The sequence below is a fragment of the Homo sapiens genome, chromosome 15 (assembly GCF_000001405.40).
Source record: "Homo sapiens chromosome 15, GRCh38.p14 Primary Assembly".
NCBI classification, from domain to species: domain Eukaryota; kingdom Metazoa; phylum Chordata; class Mammalia; order Primates; family Hominidae; genus Homo; species Homo sapiens.
In genome coordinates, this window is record NC_000015.10 from 32,867,680 (window position 1) to 32,885,217 (window position 17,538).

The 17,538-nt window shown below is 40.0% G+C and overlaps 1 protein-coding gene across 16 annotated transcripts in view; it reads right to left on the reverse strand.

The window, feature by feature from the left end:
• Positions 1-17,538, reverse strand: part of FMN1 (formin 1) — a 429,171-nt gene that overhangs the window by 102,136 nt on the left and 309,497 nt on the right. The window contains exon 16 of one of the 16 annotated variants that reach the window (XM_011521507.3): positions 1,254-12,936. The exons of the other annotated variants lie outside the window; for them this stretch is intronic. Within the exon in view, the coding sequence (XP_011519809.1) occupies positions 12,896-12,936 (41 nt within the window). The 3' untranslated portion in view covers positions 1,254-12,895. Of the gene's footprint in view, positions 1-1,253; positions 12,937-17,538 lie in introns of those variants that run through there. 16 annotated transcript variants of the gene reach the window in all.

Here is a 17,538-nt window from a genome sequence, read left to right on the forward strand (position 1 = left end):
ACGGGGTTTCACCATGTTAGCCGGGATGGTCTCAATCTCCTGACCTCGTGATCTGCCCGCCTCGGCCTCCCAAAGTGCTGGGATTACAGGCGTGAGCCACCGCGCCCGGCCATCAGGATTTCTTTTCCACCTTCCATTCTGTGATGAGAGACCCTCTGTTACAAAGTCATAGCACTGTATACCTTTCCCCTTTTCATGATTATTGGATTGTCTCCCTCATTAGGCAGAAACTGTATTTTTCTTACTGTTAAATCTCCAGCATCTACTGTAATGTCTATCTAGTGAAAGCTGTTCCATGGGTATTTGCTAAATAAATGAATAAACTACCAGTTAAAGGGGAGAAACTTACACATGTGCAGTATGGATATTAGTGTCTTGACAGAATTTGGCTGTAGTACATGTACACTCATGTACCTCAGAATGATGCTTCTGTCAATAATGGACCACATATAAAACAATGGTGCCATAAAATTATAATGAAGCTGAAAAATTCTGATAGTCCGGTGATGATGTAGCCTTTGTAACACTGTAGAGCAAGGCATTACCTTTCCTTTGTTTAGATACACAAATGCTTACCATTGTGTTATAATTGCCTACAGTATTCAGCAGAATACTGAATACAGTTACAGTATAGTACAGCCAGTAGTACTGTAATATACTGTTAACTATATTCAGTATTCTACTGAATAATGTTGGGGACTGTAACAGTATAGAAACCTGTGCAGATTTGTAGCGTAGACGCCATAGGCTATACCATCTAGCTTAGGTGTGAAGTAGGCTACACCATCTATGTTTGTGTAAGTACACTCTATGATGTTTGCACAATGATGATATTGCCTAACGACACATTTCTCAGAACATATCCCAGTTGTTAAGTGACACATGACTGTATGTATGTATATGTAGACACAGACATATGCACATACACCGACACGTGAAAAACATCTCTCTTCATTTGTATAATACATGTAGATGGAGGCAGGGGCTGGAGAAGACACAAGTACACTGACATTCACTCATTCACCCACTTTCACTCACATTCACTCATTCAGATACGAGATACACATTTTTTTTTAAATCCCTGTCCGGGTTCCATAAACATTCATACATTCAAAATACTTACCAAGTATCTGCTGTATGCCACTGAGCTAAATGTTGGGGACAAATATTTAATGAGACCTACTGGTCATTTCTCCTCTAAAAAACATTCACAGTCTAGCAACAATGAGAAACAAGGAAATGAACAAATTGTGATATAGTGTGGTGTGATGGAACGCTGGGTATAGGCCTCTATTTCAGACTGGGCCAGGAGTTAGTAGCCAGGAAAGGCTCTCCAGGAGAGAAAACTTATGAGTTGAACTGCAAAGGTCAAGGAGGAGCTAGCCCTCAACCACAGTGAGGAAAGAGAATTAAGGTGAAATGTCATGAATAAAAGTAATACATGATGAGAACGCACGGGCCATTTGAATGAGTTAAGTGGTGTAGCATGTCTGGAGCTGTGGGACCTTCTCTCCTCAGATCACTGGTGTTCTGCATTCAGATTTTGGTGTAAAGGAAAGAGTGTGCGTAGGGGAGAAAAGCTTCTGGGCCCCAAAGGTATCCCAGGTTACACACTCAGGTGAACGGTGAAAAGGCTGGTGACCAGCCTGGTTAGGAAAAGTGTCACAGACATAAGGGGCTTGCAATTTTACTTAAAGTAGTTAGGAAAAGTCTCACTGTGAAGCTATTTGACTAGAGATTTAATCAGAGTAAGGGAGGGAGTCATGAGCAAGCTCGAGGTGGAAAATCAAAGGTGTTATTTAGAGCACATTAAGTTTGAAATGTGAATTAGACACTCAAGTATATATAAAAGTCTGCAGTCTGGGACTCATGGCTGGAGTAGACACACATGCCAGGAAGTCATTGGTATAAAATTGGTATTTAAAGTGATAGCAAAATATGAATTGCCATGGGGAGAATACAGCCAAGGAAGAGAAGGTGTTGCAGGACAAACCCTGGGGCATGTGCACAGTGGAGGAGAGGCCAGCAATGAACAGAGAAGAGCTGGTCAGTAGGAAAGTGAAGGTCTGGAGTTACATGACCTGAGAAGAAAACAGAATTGCAGGAAAGAAAGAGCAGTCAGCTCTGTGCAGAAGGATCAAGTGAGATGAAGACAGAGAAATAACACTGATTCTAGTGACACAGAGGTCACTTGTAATCTCAAAAGCAGTTCCAGGGAAGTTGGGGGTGCGGGGAAAAAGCCAGCTTGGAGAGGCGTGAGGTAAATGGAGAAAGATTCTGTAGCCACTTGTTTAAGAAGTTAAGCTACAGAAAGAACGCCAAAATGGGGAAGTCGTTGGAATTAAGCCTAAAAGATAGCTCTAGTTTTCCTGGTCAAGTGCTAAAGATCAAATGAGGCCATGGAAGTGTTGTTTTCTTGGTGACTTTAAAACTGATTTAGTTCTTATCTGCCTGGGATGTTTTTGATAGTTTCCTTTCATGGTAGTAGGACTCCTTAGAAAGATTCTTCCTTTAATTTTTCAAGAAAACTCCCAAAGCCATCATGTCATAAAAATCATTCCATACAAGAAGATATTCTCTAGGGCTACTTTGATCACGTGCAGAAGAGGTCTAGCCCTTTACAGAGCGGCTGCCTCTTTCTCCAGAGGAATGTTCCATAAAAATAAACCCACCAGGAAGCTGGAGTCCAGGGGAATCCCATGATTCTGATTCACTCCACTGAGGGAGGCTGCCCAAGATCAAATTCACCTTAATGTACCATGATTGGGAGTGAGTATTCTCCATGAAAAAATTTAAGCAGAGGTGACAGGGCCAAGTGAGGACATGCTAGTGCGCTTTAGGACTTTTGGAAAGACTTGCAAAGCTGGGCCACTGACTACAGCCTTTGCACGGAATTGTCTAAAGCACCATTCAAAGGTCCCGCCTACCAAACGTCACAGCTGAGTCAGAATTTCCACTGTGATGATTATGTGGTTACGGACGCAGCCTCGGTCTGCGAGACATTAGCATGAAACATATTCATTAATCACCTACCCATGACGAGGCCTAAATATAGATGGATTGGGCATGATTTGATTTATAGGGTGTTAAGCGATTCAAACATTTATTCAAAAACATCCCTTTCACTGGTCCCCACAAAAATCGCCACCATGAGAAGCCTTCCCTTGAATTAAAGATGGTAACTCCAGAAATTTCATTAGAAATGCATATGTATTCGTTGAAAAAGAAAACATTGTCAAGAATAATTTAATGCTTTAGTAGAAATGTATTTCTAAGATTGGTTTAGGAGGTAGGGGATTTCAAAAACAATAGGTAGGAAAGTTGTGTTAACATGGAAGAAAAAGGCACATACTGCAAGCTCTGGCATCGAGGTGGACTGTGTGGCAGGGGTCCTAGGCAGGCAGCCCAGGCATGGAGGTACCGGGCCTCTGAAGGGGAAGGGAACTCATCTTCGGGAGGAGAGCAGCGACTAACTTCTAAAAAGTATTAGGAAGGTAACATATACACACAAAGACATTTGAAAAACATTTTTAAAACAGCAGAAAAAACAAATCGGTCATGACACCATGACCAAAACACAGTCACCATCTAAGACTTGCATACTTTCTCTTTCAGGGTCTGGGCCTCGGTATCGCGCTCCTTGCCCCTCCATCATTTTATGGGGGTTGCCTTACTTATATTTGATAAAGAATTTTTTTGTATTTTGATTCTTTCTATTAACATATCATGCACACATTCTCCTGTTATTTCACAAACTCCACAAGCATGTTTAACAGCCATATAAAATTTCATCAGGTAGGCATGCCATAGCTCACTTAATTCTCCTGTAGTTGGATAGTGAAATCCTTTCTACCTTATTCTCATGGGGAGTCAGGCTTGAGCCACATCTGTGTCCATACAAACTTATTCTAGGTTGAGGGTCATTTCTTTAGGAAATGACCTAAAGATACAAGATACAAAGATAAAAGATACAAGAAATGAAATTATAGGTAAAAAGGAAAAACCTTTGTAGAATTCTTGATATTAGTGGTCAAACTGTTTTTGGTACAAAATGGGTTGTACCACAATGGGAGAGATGAAGGGGAGAGATTTTGGAAATAAAACCATTTTCTGTACCACTCTGCAGAGGTGGCTGGCTCCATGCAAGCTAGAACGGTGCCTGTCACTGTCATGTAGGGACTACGGTCATCACATTGGAAGTGCAAAACTCTGGAATGGAAAACAGTAAGAGGACCATCCATCCACTGAAGTAATTTACTCAAACACAAGACCATAACTGGTGATATATGAGAGTTGATATAGAAATTGGGGATTAATCACAGCATAAAACTAGGTTTGAGGCCTGTGCATGAAAGTAGCTCTTTTTTTTTTTTTTGAAAGGCCCTAATGTGTCACGTTTAATTGGAATGTAAATTATGCTACTGTCAGCACTAGCAAAGCTGTCTGAACTTGGGGGAAGTGTACAGCAAACTTACATCAAACACTCAGAGTTTTGTAATATACATTTATATAATTATGAGCACACAAAATTTTAAATGCTCAGACTTTCCAATCAACAATATCAAGTAATCATTTGGACATACGATTGCAATTCAAGTCATTTGTGAAGAACATATAGAGCCTATATTTTGGGGCACTCCCATTGAATAGTACTTCAAGAAGCATACAGGTATCATTAGTGCAAGACAATGGTTAAAAGTCAGCAAAGGCAGAGCAAAGTTGTTAGCTAGAACGCCTCACTCCTCCCAAAATTATAGCAACACATCTTATCCACTGCTCTAATCAGGAAAATAGTACTCCTATAGGAATGCTTAAATACTAAATATGTCCTCTGAAGTCAAAATGCATATTTTGTGGCAATTTTTACTAGAATTGAGGATTCTCTCACACATACACGTCTTGAAGGCCACAGGCCTGAGCCTCTTTATGAATCAAGGAAATCAGTAAGAGGAAGAGGTATTACAGCAATGCTGGTCTTAGGACTAGTCCCCTTCCAGCAGTGCAACAGCTGGCTACAAAGAGGCCAGTGATTAAGATACACAAGGCCTATTAGTAAAAAGCAACCTGTCCCCACATTGCTCCACCAGGACAGCTGCAAGTCTTCCACGGTTTCTCTGACCTCTGAGCCCATGTTCCCGTTTCAGCCCTCGCTGGTTAGTCACATTAACTGTAATTTTCTACTCTGGAAAGTGTTTACATCTAAATGAACCATGAGGGAATAAAGGAGAAATGACAGAAAGGCATAAAGAGAAGAGAGGGAAAAAAAAAAGGATGGAAAGTTATTTTTAAAACACACAACCTAATCTGGTGGATGAATTCTGGTATCTAGTCTTGGCTCCAGAATCACTGGCAAAGCATGGAGCTGGCAGCCACTGCTAATCAGTTTGCCACTGTCTTCAGATTTAATGCAATATTTGGCTCAGACATTTAAAAAAATCCTATTCCAGCTAAAATATTTACACAGTCCTATGTGTCTCACTTAATGCCTGTTAAGCAATCGTCTTTTAAAACTCCACAGACACTTGTAAATCTGTCGGGAGAATTGTGGCCTATAAACAAGGTTTCATATAAAGAAGGCTGCATTGTCAATTTTGGGGGAGTAGGGATTTCTTAGGATGTGTTTGAAAATAGAGTTGAATATCAGAAACAGTTTAGAGTGGGTAACAAAGTGGCCAATAGTCTCGCTTGCTGGACGCCGTTAGTGGTATTAACGGGAAGCCTCCAGACACTGATCTCAGCTATTTAAAACTGTGCTCTCCTGTAAATCTGTCATTGATCCTACCTCTCTCTTGAGTTATGGCGCAGGGACAGTTTCTGGTCCAGCAGCCCCTGGTAGTCTGCATCCTAGGGCCTGTCAGGCTAGAGATGATGAGCTGCTGGAGCCTTTAACAGGAGGCTATTACGTGGTTATACGTAAAGTGAGTGTGTGTAAGCATCTGAGGAAGGATGGGGGACTGCTAGAGGAGAGGGGGAGTTCTGGGCAGGGCTGATGTTGAGAAGAACAAGACGGCTGAAATGACAAATAAATAGTATCCACTGAGAGGCTAGGTGTCACAGATTCTGAAATGCCTATTAAACTCTCTAACATCTTCAGCCCTGATGTTAATAAGACTAGGTGATAAAACTTAAAGTCATGGAGGCCCCTCCAAGCTATCTCCTGTTGGCCTGGGGAGCGCAAGGAATTTGTCTCTGTCTTTGGGATGAGTCAGGTATATGTAATATGACTCAGCAAAACCGCTCCATCATTCAATTATTCCTAGATTAGCCGCCTTTTTATTTTTACTCCATTTCATTAATGAATACGCCATTGGTTATGATTCACAATTTTATTTTAGTTGTTTTTTTTTTTTTTTTTTTGATACAGAGTCTTGCACTGTCAGTCACCAGGCTGCAGTGCAATGGCGCGATCTCGGCTCACTGTGACCTCTGCCTCCTGGGTTCAAGCGATTCTCCTGCCTTAGCCTCCTGAGTAGCTTGGATTACAGGTGCCTGCCACCACGCCCAGCTAATTTTTTGTACTTTTAGTAGAGACGGGATTTCGCTATGTTGGTCAGGCTGGTCTCAAACTCCTGACCTCGTGATCTGCCTGCCTCGGCCTCCCAAAGTGCTGGGATTACAGGTGTGAGCCACCAAGCCCGGCCTATATTAGCTATATATAGCGAATATCAAGCCCAGCTTAAACACTCAACTTTGGGATTTGGTGGAGTTAGGAAAAGGTATGTCATGGATTGAAAAAAAAATTAGATGTTTGTAATTCCAAGGTATATAATGCCTTGAAACCAAGGTGGCAAGTATTAGTTGATTCTCTTCAGGATCACAGTCAGGAAGGGCTTTGCAGATGTTTTTATGAATCTTCAGAACAGCTGGAGGGAAAATTCTATATACCTTCCCTCTGTTTACCCTCTAACAGACTGACAAGTATTATCTCTGTTCTCAGGTACAGTCAGATTCCTGTTCCTGAGCAGAAGAGAAATCAGAAGTAGGAATAAATCTCTCCCCTAGAAAATGGGGATAAAACTTACCCTTAAAATGTGTTTATAAAGGACTTGATCTTTCAGTGAGTTTATTTAAAATTCGCAGTGAACTCAGTGCTAAGAATAAATATTTGCTGAACAAATTAATTGATTGAAAAGGTCAAACAAGATCTGTCTCGTATTCTGTAGTTTTTTCTTTGATACCCGGAGATTTGATGACACTTTTTAAAGACCATCAAAATGGTCCAGAAAAGGTTTAAAAACACAACCAAATTAGCACTGTTAGTACATTAGCCATTATAAATGTTCCTTGGGCGTTTCCCCTTTCTGTTTACTATGGCAGAGGAAAAGTTTCTGGTCCAGCGGGTCCTGGTCCTCCATGCTGACTTGGACATATTGCCATTTATCTCTCACTCAGTAATTCCTTGAAAACAACAACAAATTTTCAAACTGTATAATCAAAAGCAAATGGCCCTTAAATGGCCAAGGGTGTCTTAGCCCTCAGCCTGCTTTATGTGTTATCTCATCTTACCCTATGAAAGTTTTCCTGCTATTGTCCCCTTTTTGGTGAGTATTAGTAAAGTCACACAGACAGTAAGTAGCTGAGTCAGGATCTGAATCCAGGGGTAACAGACCCCCTGCCCTTATAATATGCCACCTCCTACTTTCACCATCTACAGGAAAGTTCTAGAAAAAACTATGGGACACCTATGTGAATGCTTTGTCAACTGTAAGGAATTAATAAAAGCTAAAAAAATCACCAAGTGCCACCACTGGGATCCTGTCATTTCAAATGGGGAAAAGGCCTACCAGGTGGTTAGGTTAGTAAGTGGCATGGCAGAGACTGGAACCAGGGCTGTCAATTTCCTGGTAGGTCTGTGATCTTTCCAGGAGTATTAAAAGGTAGAGTCACAGTTCATGGCCCCTATCCACCTAGGAGCCACGCTGAGGTTGAGCTATCTGGGAAAGAATCTACGAGAGATAAGGATATTGGCAAAAACTCCAGTCCCCTTTGCAGGGGCTAAGGAGGTCTCCCTCTAACTTCACTCATTTGGTTGACTGACATGAGAAGAATCTCTCTGTGGATTGTGAATCTTCCACAGAGTCAAAGATATACAACTTACTTAGGCAGAAAAAGTATTTTGATATTCACAAAACTATCCACTACTCTATTTCTGTAAAGAAAATGTTTTGACCCAATACAAGCTCATGGTATGGTAGCTTGGGCGCTGGCTTGGCAGTCAAGGACCTGAGTTCTGTGCCTGGCTGGGTGATCCCGGCCATGCTGCTTCCTATCTCGAAGACTCTGTTTTCCAAGCTGCATATGCCTGCCCTACTCACTTGGGAGGATGAAGCACCATAGGCAGGTAAAGTATCACCATTATAATTACAAGAGTACCTTTAAAAAACCAAAAAAACAGGAAATATCAAGGATACTTTGTTAATGAACTTGCCAAATTAATGCTATTTTCCAGTCCTCATACTTGATTCAGTCTTCCAGCTATCGAGCAGAATCCTGATCAAAAGCACTTGTGTTGTTTCTAAACCTGTTTATTCCTGTTGTTCTTTTTATTGAAATTATGTAATTTAATGACTTGATGGTAAACCAGATATATGACTGTCAAAAGGTACTATTTCTATAAGTTTTAATGAAAGAAGCTAAAATATTGCTGTTAAATGTAGGTATAGAAGGCCAGGGGAAACTGGGGAAACATGGCAACTAAATGCAATGTGGTAGTCAGGATTAGGTCCTGGAACAGAAAGGGGACAAAAATGGAAAAACCAGTGAAATCCATATAAAAACTAGCATTCAGTCAATCTAAATGTATCATTGCCAGTTTCTCAGTTTTAACAAATGGATCACAGCAGTGTGAGATGCCAAGAATGGGGAAAGTAACTGAGAAGAGCTATATGAGAACTCTCTACTCTTTGCAACTTTTCTGCAATTTAAAAATTATTCCAAAATAAAAATTAAAGTGTATTGTTTAAAAAGTGTGGGAAACACAGTTTTAAAAGATTGAGAACAATTATAAATATCTAGAAAGATTCTATGGTGATATTTGCAAGAGTCTTTACTGAACTTTAAAAATACAGTAGGGAAATTACAGATGCTGTCATTATGGAGTATGTAGGGAAGACCTATAGGACTGCATTCGACAGATTCATAATTCAAGTAAAAGCTTCATCCCTGCATCAGAATACAGACAAAGGATACAACATTTAATTTGTTGTAAGTTAAAGTGTTAAGGGATACAAGTGTCATTTTCCATGATTCCCAATTTTGGCCAATTTTTTTCCATTAACCTACCACACTGGATAAGCGCTCTGCTCTATAAAGACAGATGGTATCGGCTGGGCATGGTGGCTCATGCCTGTAATCCCAGCACTTTGGGATGCCAAGGCAGGTGGATCACCTGAAGTCAGGAGTCTGAAACCAGCTTGGCCAATATGATGAAAACCAGTATCTACTAAAAATACAAAAAATTAGCTGGGCATGCTGGCGGGTGCCTGTAGTCCCAGCTACTTTGCAGGCTGAGGCAGGAGAATCGTTTGAACCCGGGAGGCGGAAGTTGCAGTGAGCCGAGATTGTGCCACTGCACTCCAGCCTGGGTGGCAGAACAATATTCTGTCTCAGGAAAAAAAAAAAAAAGGATAGATGGTATCAACACAAGAATTTTTGAGGCATGAATTAATTCAAGAGATTGTTCAGAGTCATTTACAAAGAGAATACCTGAGATGCAAGCCTGATATAATTTGAAAGTTGACTTTTTAAAAAAAAGTCTTGCAAATGGTCAGAATTCCTAGGATTTTTCAGTTGTTCTAATTAAGTCAGTCTAGGGAGGAATTCAATACAGTAACCCTTCATGAACAAGGAGAATTATAGAATGCACTGAAATAGCATAGTAAGAATAATCATCTCAGAAATTCAGGAGTTGGAATATACCTTCAAAATCATCTAGCAAACTACTTGTCTAATGGTACCTCCTCTACCCACCCACATAATACAATCTTCCAGCAAGCAGTGGGTGAGGAACCCACTACTGCTCAAGGCCATCAGTTTTCTCTTCAGACAGCTTTAAAATCTGTCCCTCTAAAAGATTCTACTCACGGATGCTTATCTGACATCTTTGGCCATAAGGAAGTGATCTAATTTCTCACTAATAGCAGAGTCAGCGATTATCTGAAGTTGAGTCATTTCTTCCATTGTTCATTTGCTCATTCATTCACCCATTTACCAAATATTGACAACAAATACGTGGAAAGTGCTGACCAGCACAGTAAATATAAACATAAAAAAGGTCATATATCTGCCTTCATGAAGCTGGTGGAGGAAGAGAAAATTTACAAACAAATAAATAGAAAATAATATGAAATATGAATATGTGAAAGTAATATGAAAAACGAAGGCTGTAATAGACAGTGCCTATTCAAAGTGCCTCCTGAAGAGTGGGTGGGCAAGGAAGGCTCAGAGCATGGGCCTATCTGGCAGAAGGGCTTTCTAGGAGAGGGACCCACTACTGCAATGATCCTAGAGCAGGAACAAGTACATCGTGTTGGAACACAAAGAAGGCCCGTGTGGCTGGAGTTTAGTGGGCAGGAGGGGTGAGTGGTGTGAGAGAAGACTGGAAAGGCAGAAGTGGTTAAATCAGTTTGTACGGCATGAGTATGAGGTTGGATTTGATTCCAAGAGGAATGAAGATGAAATAACAGAGTGCTGTGACCTATGCGGCAGGTGGAGACAAAGGAAGACCAAGAGTGGAAGCAGAGAAACCTGCTTGATATGGGCCAGGTGAGAAGGTGGTAGCTTGGATTACAAAAGCAGTAGGTGTGGAGATGGAGAGCAATGAATTGATTCCAGACACTTTTTGAAGTTAAGAGTCAACAGGACTAGCTGTCAGACATGAGAGCACAAAAGGAATCAAGGAAAAGTATGACACATTTGGCATATGCTATGAAAAGGGATTTCCTTTGTGGGATCCCAGTAAATCCTCTTAAACAATCAGTGGAGCAGGTAGCCTTACACTCATTTTTATATGAGGATACTGAAATGTCAGGGATGAAATGATTTGCCAAGGGTTACAAAGCTTGTGAAGCAAGGATTTGAATTCAGGACTTCTGACCCAGACTTTTCTATGATTGCAGCTTTTATTTCAATATTTTATGTTTCTTGTCAAAGAAAAAAACTCAACAAAACACATTCTATTAACCACGTGTTTTTATAAAATAGAGGGTAGAAATAGAGGGTGCAAACTGAGAGGAGGAAACCAGGACAACATAACTCATCCTTCCCACCTAGAAATGTCACAATCACAGCTTCAAAGGAAAACACAAACTTCTTCCATTAATTAAACGGATGAATCAAGTTTCAGTTTCCTCTCTCCTTTCTGTACAACTTGTCTTTGAAGGCATTTCATTTGGGAAATGTGTGACCTTTAGTCACCATGCTCAATTAATTGAATGCTTTGCATCAAAAGTCACCATGCCGATCCACATTTTACACCCACTGCTTTTCTGAAATACTTATCCCAGTTCCTTAGGTCTGTTTTGTTGAAATCATTTTACAAAAATAAATCATATCAAAGTTTTTTTTATTATTTCTAAAACTTTGCTTGCAAAACTAAATATTTTTAACACCATGGCAACATGGTCAGGACTCTGGCTAATGTATCCAGTCTCGTACCAGAGCTCAGACTTAGTAAACTACTGCTGTGGACAAATGGGCTGTGAAGGAGGAAAGAGCTAATAAATTAGACATGGTCAATAATCATTCAAGTCATGTCTTCTGGAGCTTCCCAAAAGGTGATAAATTAGCCAGACCTGTCCTAATGATCAATACCCTGCTCTCCCTTCTAGAACACACCAGCATCCATTGAGTAAAGTGCAGACTGCAAGGCCTCTCAGGAATTTAAGTACTACCTCACACCTCCTGAGGTACTTCCTCAGGCATCGCCTCATCTGACCCTTTCAATATCCCTTTGTGTTGGGCAGAATCCAGAAGTATGATCGGCTCCATTTTTTTTTTCAGTTGAGAGTCACAGAGGCTAAGTGATGTGGCAAAGTGCATGGTTTATCATGTGATAAGAGGCAGAATTAACTTTAAACTTACATCTCCTAAATCTCAGTTCAGTACTATTTTCAACACACCAGCCTCTGTCATTGAAACTTAACAAATTCACAAATGCTTTGTTTCATTGTGGGATTTTTTGTTTTTATGTATTTGTCAAAGTTATACGTGCACGCAGTTTAAAGAATCAGTACATTCTATGCACTTTAAGAACAGCAGTCCCCCATCTCCACCCCACCATTTCCTCAATTCTTCCTCCTCAGAGGCTACCTCTTTTACCAATTTTATGTGATTATTTGGTGCTTAGTAGTATGTCTCTAACAAGCTTCTATTGTTTTTTTTTTATTTTTCTCTTTATCAACTATAAATGATGTAGTTCTTTCCTTCACTCCCGCCTCTTCACTTCCATCACCCCAATATAGCACACGGTACCATGACTTGGTTAGACTAGCGTTTGGTGTTGACATTATTATGACTTTGCAAAAACAACTCGCAGTCCCAGCTGATATATGGAAACTCTGATTATTCCACATTTCCCGCACATTTCCTCTTTCTCTCACACTTGCTCTCAGAATTTTTTTTTCTGATTTAGTTTGTTTTCTATGAGCTTAACGTTAAATGAACCTCACACTTGTTACTAGTTGTATAAAATCTCTTGTCCAAACGTTCAGATATATTAGATGTATTAATTGTGTATTCCTTAAGAACCTTCTCCATGATGCTTTTGACTTAATCAAATCTGAAATGTTTTCTTTCAATGTCTGGCTGCCATCCTGGGCTTTTTCTCTGTGCTGGAGGCTCCATTCACCTTCCTTCTCCACTGAATTTTTATTTCCTGTGACCTATGTCTTCCTCTTTAATGGGACAGCACTTTCTTTAGTAGCATCCTGAAGATAACTGTATGGGAGATAAGTATTTTGAGAAATTGCATGTCTCAAAATGTTTTTAATCTGTCCTCATATTTGACTAATAGTTTGGTGGATATAAGGTTCTGGACTGGGAATAATTTTTCTTCAGAATCCTGATGCATTTGTAGCTTTTAGTAATGCTACTGAAAAGTCTGAAGTCATTCTGTTTCCTGACTGTGTGTGTAATCCATCCCCACATCCCACCTACTCCTAGAAGGGGGTGAGCTTTTCTTTTTGTCCTAAGTATTCTGAAATGTTCTAGTAATAGTATAAATCTGTTTTACTTCCCCCATATTAGTCAAATATCACATGGTAAGTGGCAGAATTAACTTTAAACTTTTGTCTCCTAAATCCTAGTTCAGTGCTATTGTCAACACCCCAGCCTATGCCATTGAAACTTAACTGCCATTCACAAAGCTTCATTTCATTGTGGGGTTTTTTGTTTTTGCATATTTTTTGTATATTTTGTATATTAATCAAATACGGGGGAGTAAAACAGATTTATACTATTATTAAAACATTAAAACTTTTTAGGCCTTTTAAAATTAGGAACTCATCCAACATTTTTAGACATTTTAAATGACTGTATTAATTTATGTACAAATATGTATGACTTTCTGCATGTTTGTATAAATATGCACAAACTTGTGGTACATGTAAGTCTTATAGTAAAAGTTGGATTGCTTCTCACCTCCTATCACTCCTGGATTAGAATTCAGCTTTCTTGTTTGATTAATTCATTTATCATGTATACATCTGTTTTTGAGTTTCCAAAATTTTGTGGTTCTCTCTATGCTTTAAAATTGATGCTTTTAAAGAATTCTACTATCGTTCTAGAAATTTTCAAAAGGAACTGAAATTCCATGAGTGTTCAGTCCTTGATGAGTGTTCAATCAATGACGTTTCCACCAAAGTCCTCCAAAAGGTTTCCAAAGTGACTTTTCCCCCTTACTAGAACCATATTGTTGTTTATGGGCCATGTTTTAATTAGTAATTAAAGAAAATTTTCACCCTCATGACAAGATCTAATTTTTGTCTTTTTTCCTCTTACAAGAAGCATTTAAACTCTCATGGAGGGAAAGCCACTTGAAGACACCAGGTGGCAGAGGTCATTCGTTTTGCAGGGTCAGGGCTGGTCTTGAGCACAGGAAGCATAGCTCACCCTCTTATGTGACTTGACAAGTTCTGGAAAATTCCCTTACCTTCTCATCTACATCAGGAGCCCAATACATCTAACTTCCACACATGGAAGAGATAACAAAACCTTGCAGGTTGCCCAGGGATGGCCCTTTAGTCCTCTGCTATTAGTTCAGTTAGCCACATCAGACTAGTATGCTTTCTTTTGGGTCACGAAGGAATAAAACAGAGGCTAGGTCAATGTCAGAGAGACAGAGAGGGAGTCAGAGAAACTGAAAAATATTGACAGGCAGGAGGTGGAAGGAGAGAGACTACAATAGGCAGACTGGTTGAGTGGTTGTATGTAGAGACAAGAGAAAGCCTGAATTCAATCCAATTTTTATCTGTAGTCCCTTTAGAAGATGAGCCACAGAACGAAGTGGGGCTTATTCTTCAAACTTTATCATTCTGGATCACATTTTTTGTGCTTTTAGGGTGAGCCTGCAAACTGTAAAGGAACAAAGTACGGCACAGATAAACCTGTTTCAAATTTCAGCTTTGCCAGTAGTAGCAAAGTAACTTCCACTTCCTTACTGTAACAACACAGGTAATAACACTTACTTTGAAGGAGTTTTAAGAAATAGAAATGATGTAAGCAAATTTGCTGGTATTAAGTGCTCATTAAATGGTAAGTGTTGTCATTAGTGATGGTGGAAATGGACACACGCCACACCCTTAACCACATTTATAGACCCTTTGTCCACTGTCTACACTGGTAGGGAGGAGAATTTTATTGCTGCCATTGTTTAGAATTGCTAGTGCATAATGATAATAAAAAACGAACTGACTTCTAGTTGACTTTATTATTGCTTTTAGATTCTCTACAGACATGCCAGATAAAAAACAGTACACCAAGTTAAATTAGAATTTCAGATAAGAAAAAATTTTTTAGTGTAAGTGTGTACCATGCAATATTTGAGATACACTTACATTTAAAAAAAAACCCTGAAAGAAAAGTATTGGGCCTCCTGAATTTTATTTAATAAATTTGACAACCCTAAGAGTAAGGAAGAACCATTTTGCTTCCTAAGATAATATCAACAGGAAACACTTTCTTAAATTCTCTTTGGGGCCCAATAGCACTGACTGACTCAGGCAAGGGCCACACTTTCATCGGAGTGGACAGATACATTGATTCCTGACAGAACAAGAGCCAGCATGGCTGTAAGAAGCCAGAATCAAAGAGGATGGTGACGAGGCAAACTTGCATTAAAAGCTGCTGAAGAGCAGGGACAGAGGAACCGTTTCCCCTCCCACAGTAACACAAAGTTGAATATCCATTAGATTAGCAACCAGTTCTTAGCATTCCTCCCTCCTACTCATAGTCAACTCTTGATCAACTGCAGTAATAGGAAGAGAAAAGGACATCACACATAACCCCAAATGAAAATGAAAACAAAACTGATCAAGGGTAAGATCAGGTCCAGTGGTGGCTCATGCCTGTAATCCTGGCACTATGGGAGGCCAAGGCCGGAGGATCGCTTGAGCCCAGGAAATTTGAGACTAGCCTAGGCAACACAGTGAGACCCTGTCTGTACAAAAAATACAATTTACAAAATTAGCTGGGCGTGGTGGTATACATCTGTAGTCCCAGCTGCTTAGGAGGCTGAGGTAGGAGGATTGCTGGAGCTCAGAATATTGAGGTTTCAGTGAGCCATGATTGTGCTGTTACTCTCAAGCCTGGGCAATAGAGCAAGAACCTATCTCAAAAAAAAAAAAAAAAAAAAAAAAAAAAAAAAAGAATGAGATCAAGCGGTAAGTAATGACATGTGGCCTTGTTTCTGCTAAGTCAGACCTGCCCTCCCCTACGTTACTAGAGATCCTGACTCCTGCAGGCAGGACCCAGTAATATCATTTCACCAACAACCGTGTTGCTAGTACAATCAATATCCTTTCTTCTTAAAGTACCTTTTACACAACTTATGCTCTGTAAAAATATTACTAAGTAGACAATGAAAGGGAAAAGAAAGCAAGCCAATGTTTCATGCTTTAAGTTAGGAAATGCTGTTTTAAACAGCATTAAACTTTTTTTTAACTACAGAACTTCCCAGAGGCTTTAATAAGCTCATGTGCTTTGAATCCCTAGGATATGATTTTCGTACAGAGCATGTCCAGGTTTATTTGATCATAGACTCTTTCAGAGAACAACAGTTCCAGTTCACATTTCAGGTAATATTTTTAGGTGCTACTATTTGACGAATCCTACATCTATAGTTTCAGCAATGCTGCACGCGCATGTGTGTGTTTGTGTATGTGTGTGTGTCTGTCTCTGGTATTAACTGGTGCAATCAGAAAGAAGAGTCCACTCCTTGGTGTATTAGTTTCTGATTGCTACTATAATAAATTAGCACAAACTTAGGAGGCTTAAAACACCAGAAATATATCACCTTTTAGTTCTATATGTTAGAAGTCTGACATGGGACTCACAGGCTAAACTCAAGGTGCTGACAGGGCTGTACTCCCTTTTAGAGGCTCTAGGGAGAATCTGTTCCTTGCCTTTTCCACTTCTAGAGGCTTCCCACATTCCTTGGCTCACGGCCCACTTCCTCCATCTTCAAAGCCAGCGACATTACATCTCTCTGATCATTCTTACGTCGTTATATCTCCCTCTGATCATAGCCAGGGAAAGTCCTCAGCGTTTAAAGACTGACTTTAAAGATTCATGTGATTAGATTAGGCCCACTTGGACGGTCCAGGATAATCTCCCCATGTCAACATCAGCAAAGTCCCTTTTTGCCATGTAAGGCAACATGTTCACAGATTCTAGGGATTAGGGTTTGGACATCCTTGGGGGGCATTATTCTGCCTACCACATATGGGTGGGTAAGAACACCCTGAGAGTTCCAGCCAGCAAGGACAAAGAGGGAGAATGAAAGTAACTATTGCCATTGTTTGTGTTTTCTCAATTATTGCTTACAACTTCACAGTATCAGGGAAATTGAAATTATTGTCTTGTTAAGGGATGTAGAACAATAAACAAAATATGGAACATGTTCCCAAGCACCAAGAACTTGGTTCTCTCTTTACAATGTAGAGAAGCAAGCACAAGTGCTCTGTGAATTAGATACTCCACAAACATAGCCAGCTGGCCTCTCAGCAACACCGGCTGATTATACAGGCTGTGCACTTTCCAGTGAAAGGTACATGCCCTTAATCAGCTTTATTGAAGCTGCCCTCACTAAGAAACTGTGCAGACATTATTTCCTATGATGCAGGTCCTATAACTGTCCCATTTTACAGGTGAGAAAGTGAATACTTTCTACGATTATGCTACTTGACAAGCTGTTACTTTCACTGAACCAGTAAAACATACACATCTGAACTCAAAGCCTGATCTTAGTCCTATGTAATGTGCCTATTTGTATGTCTATTTGACAATCCATCTACCTGGACTTCTTCCCCTTTCCAATTCCAA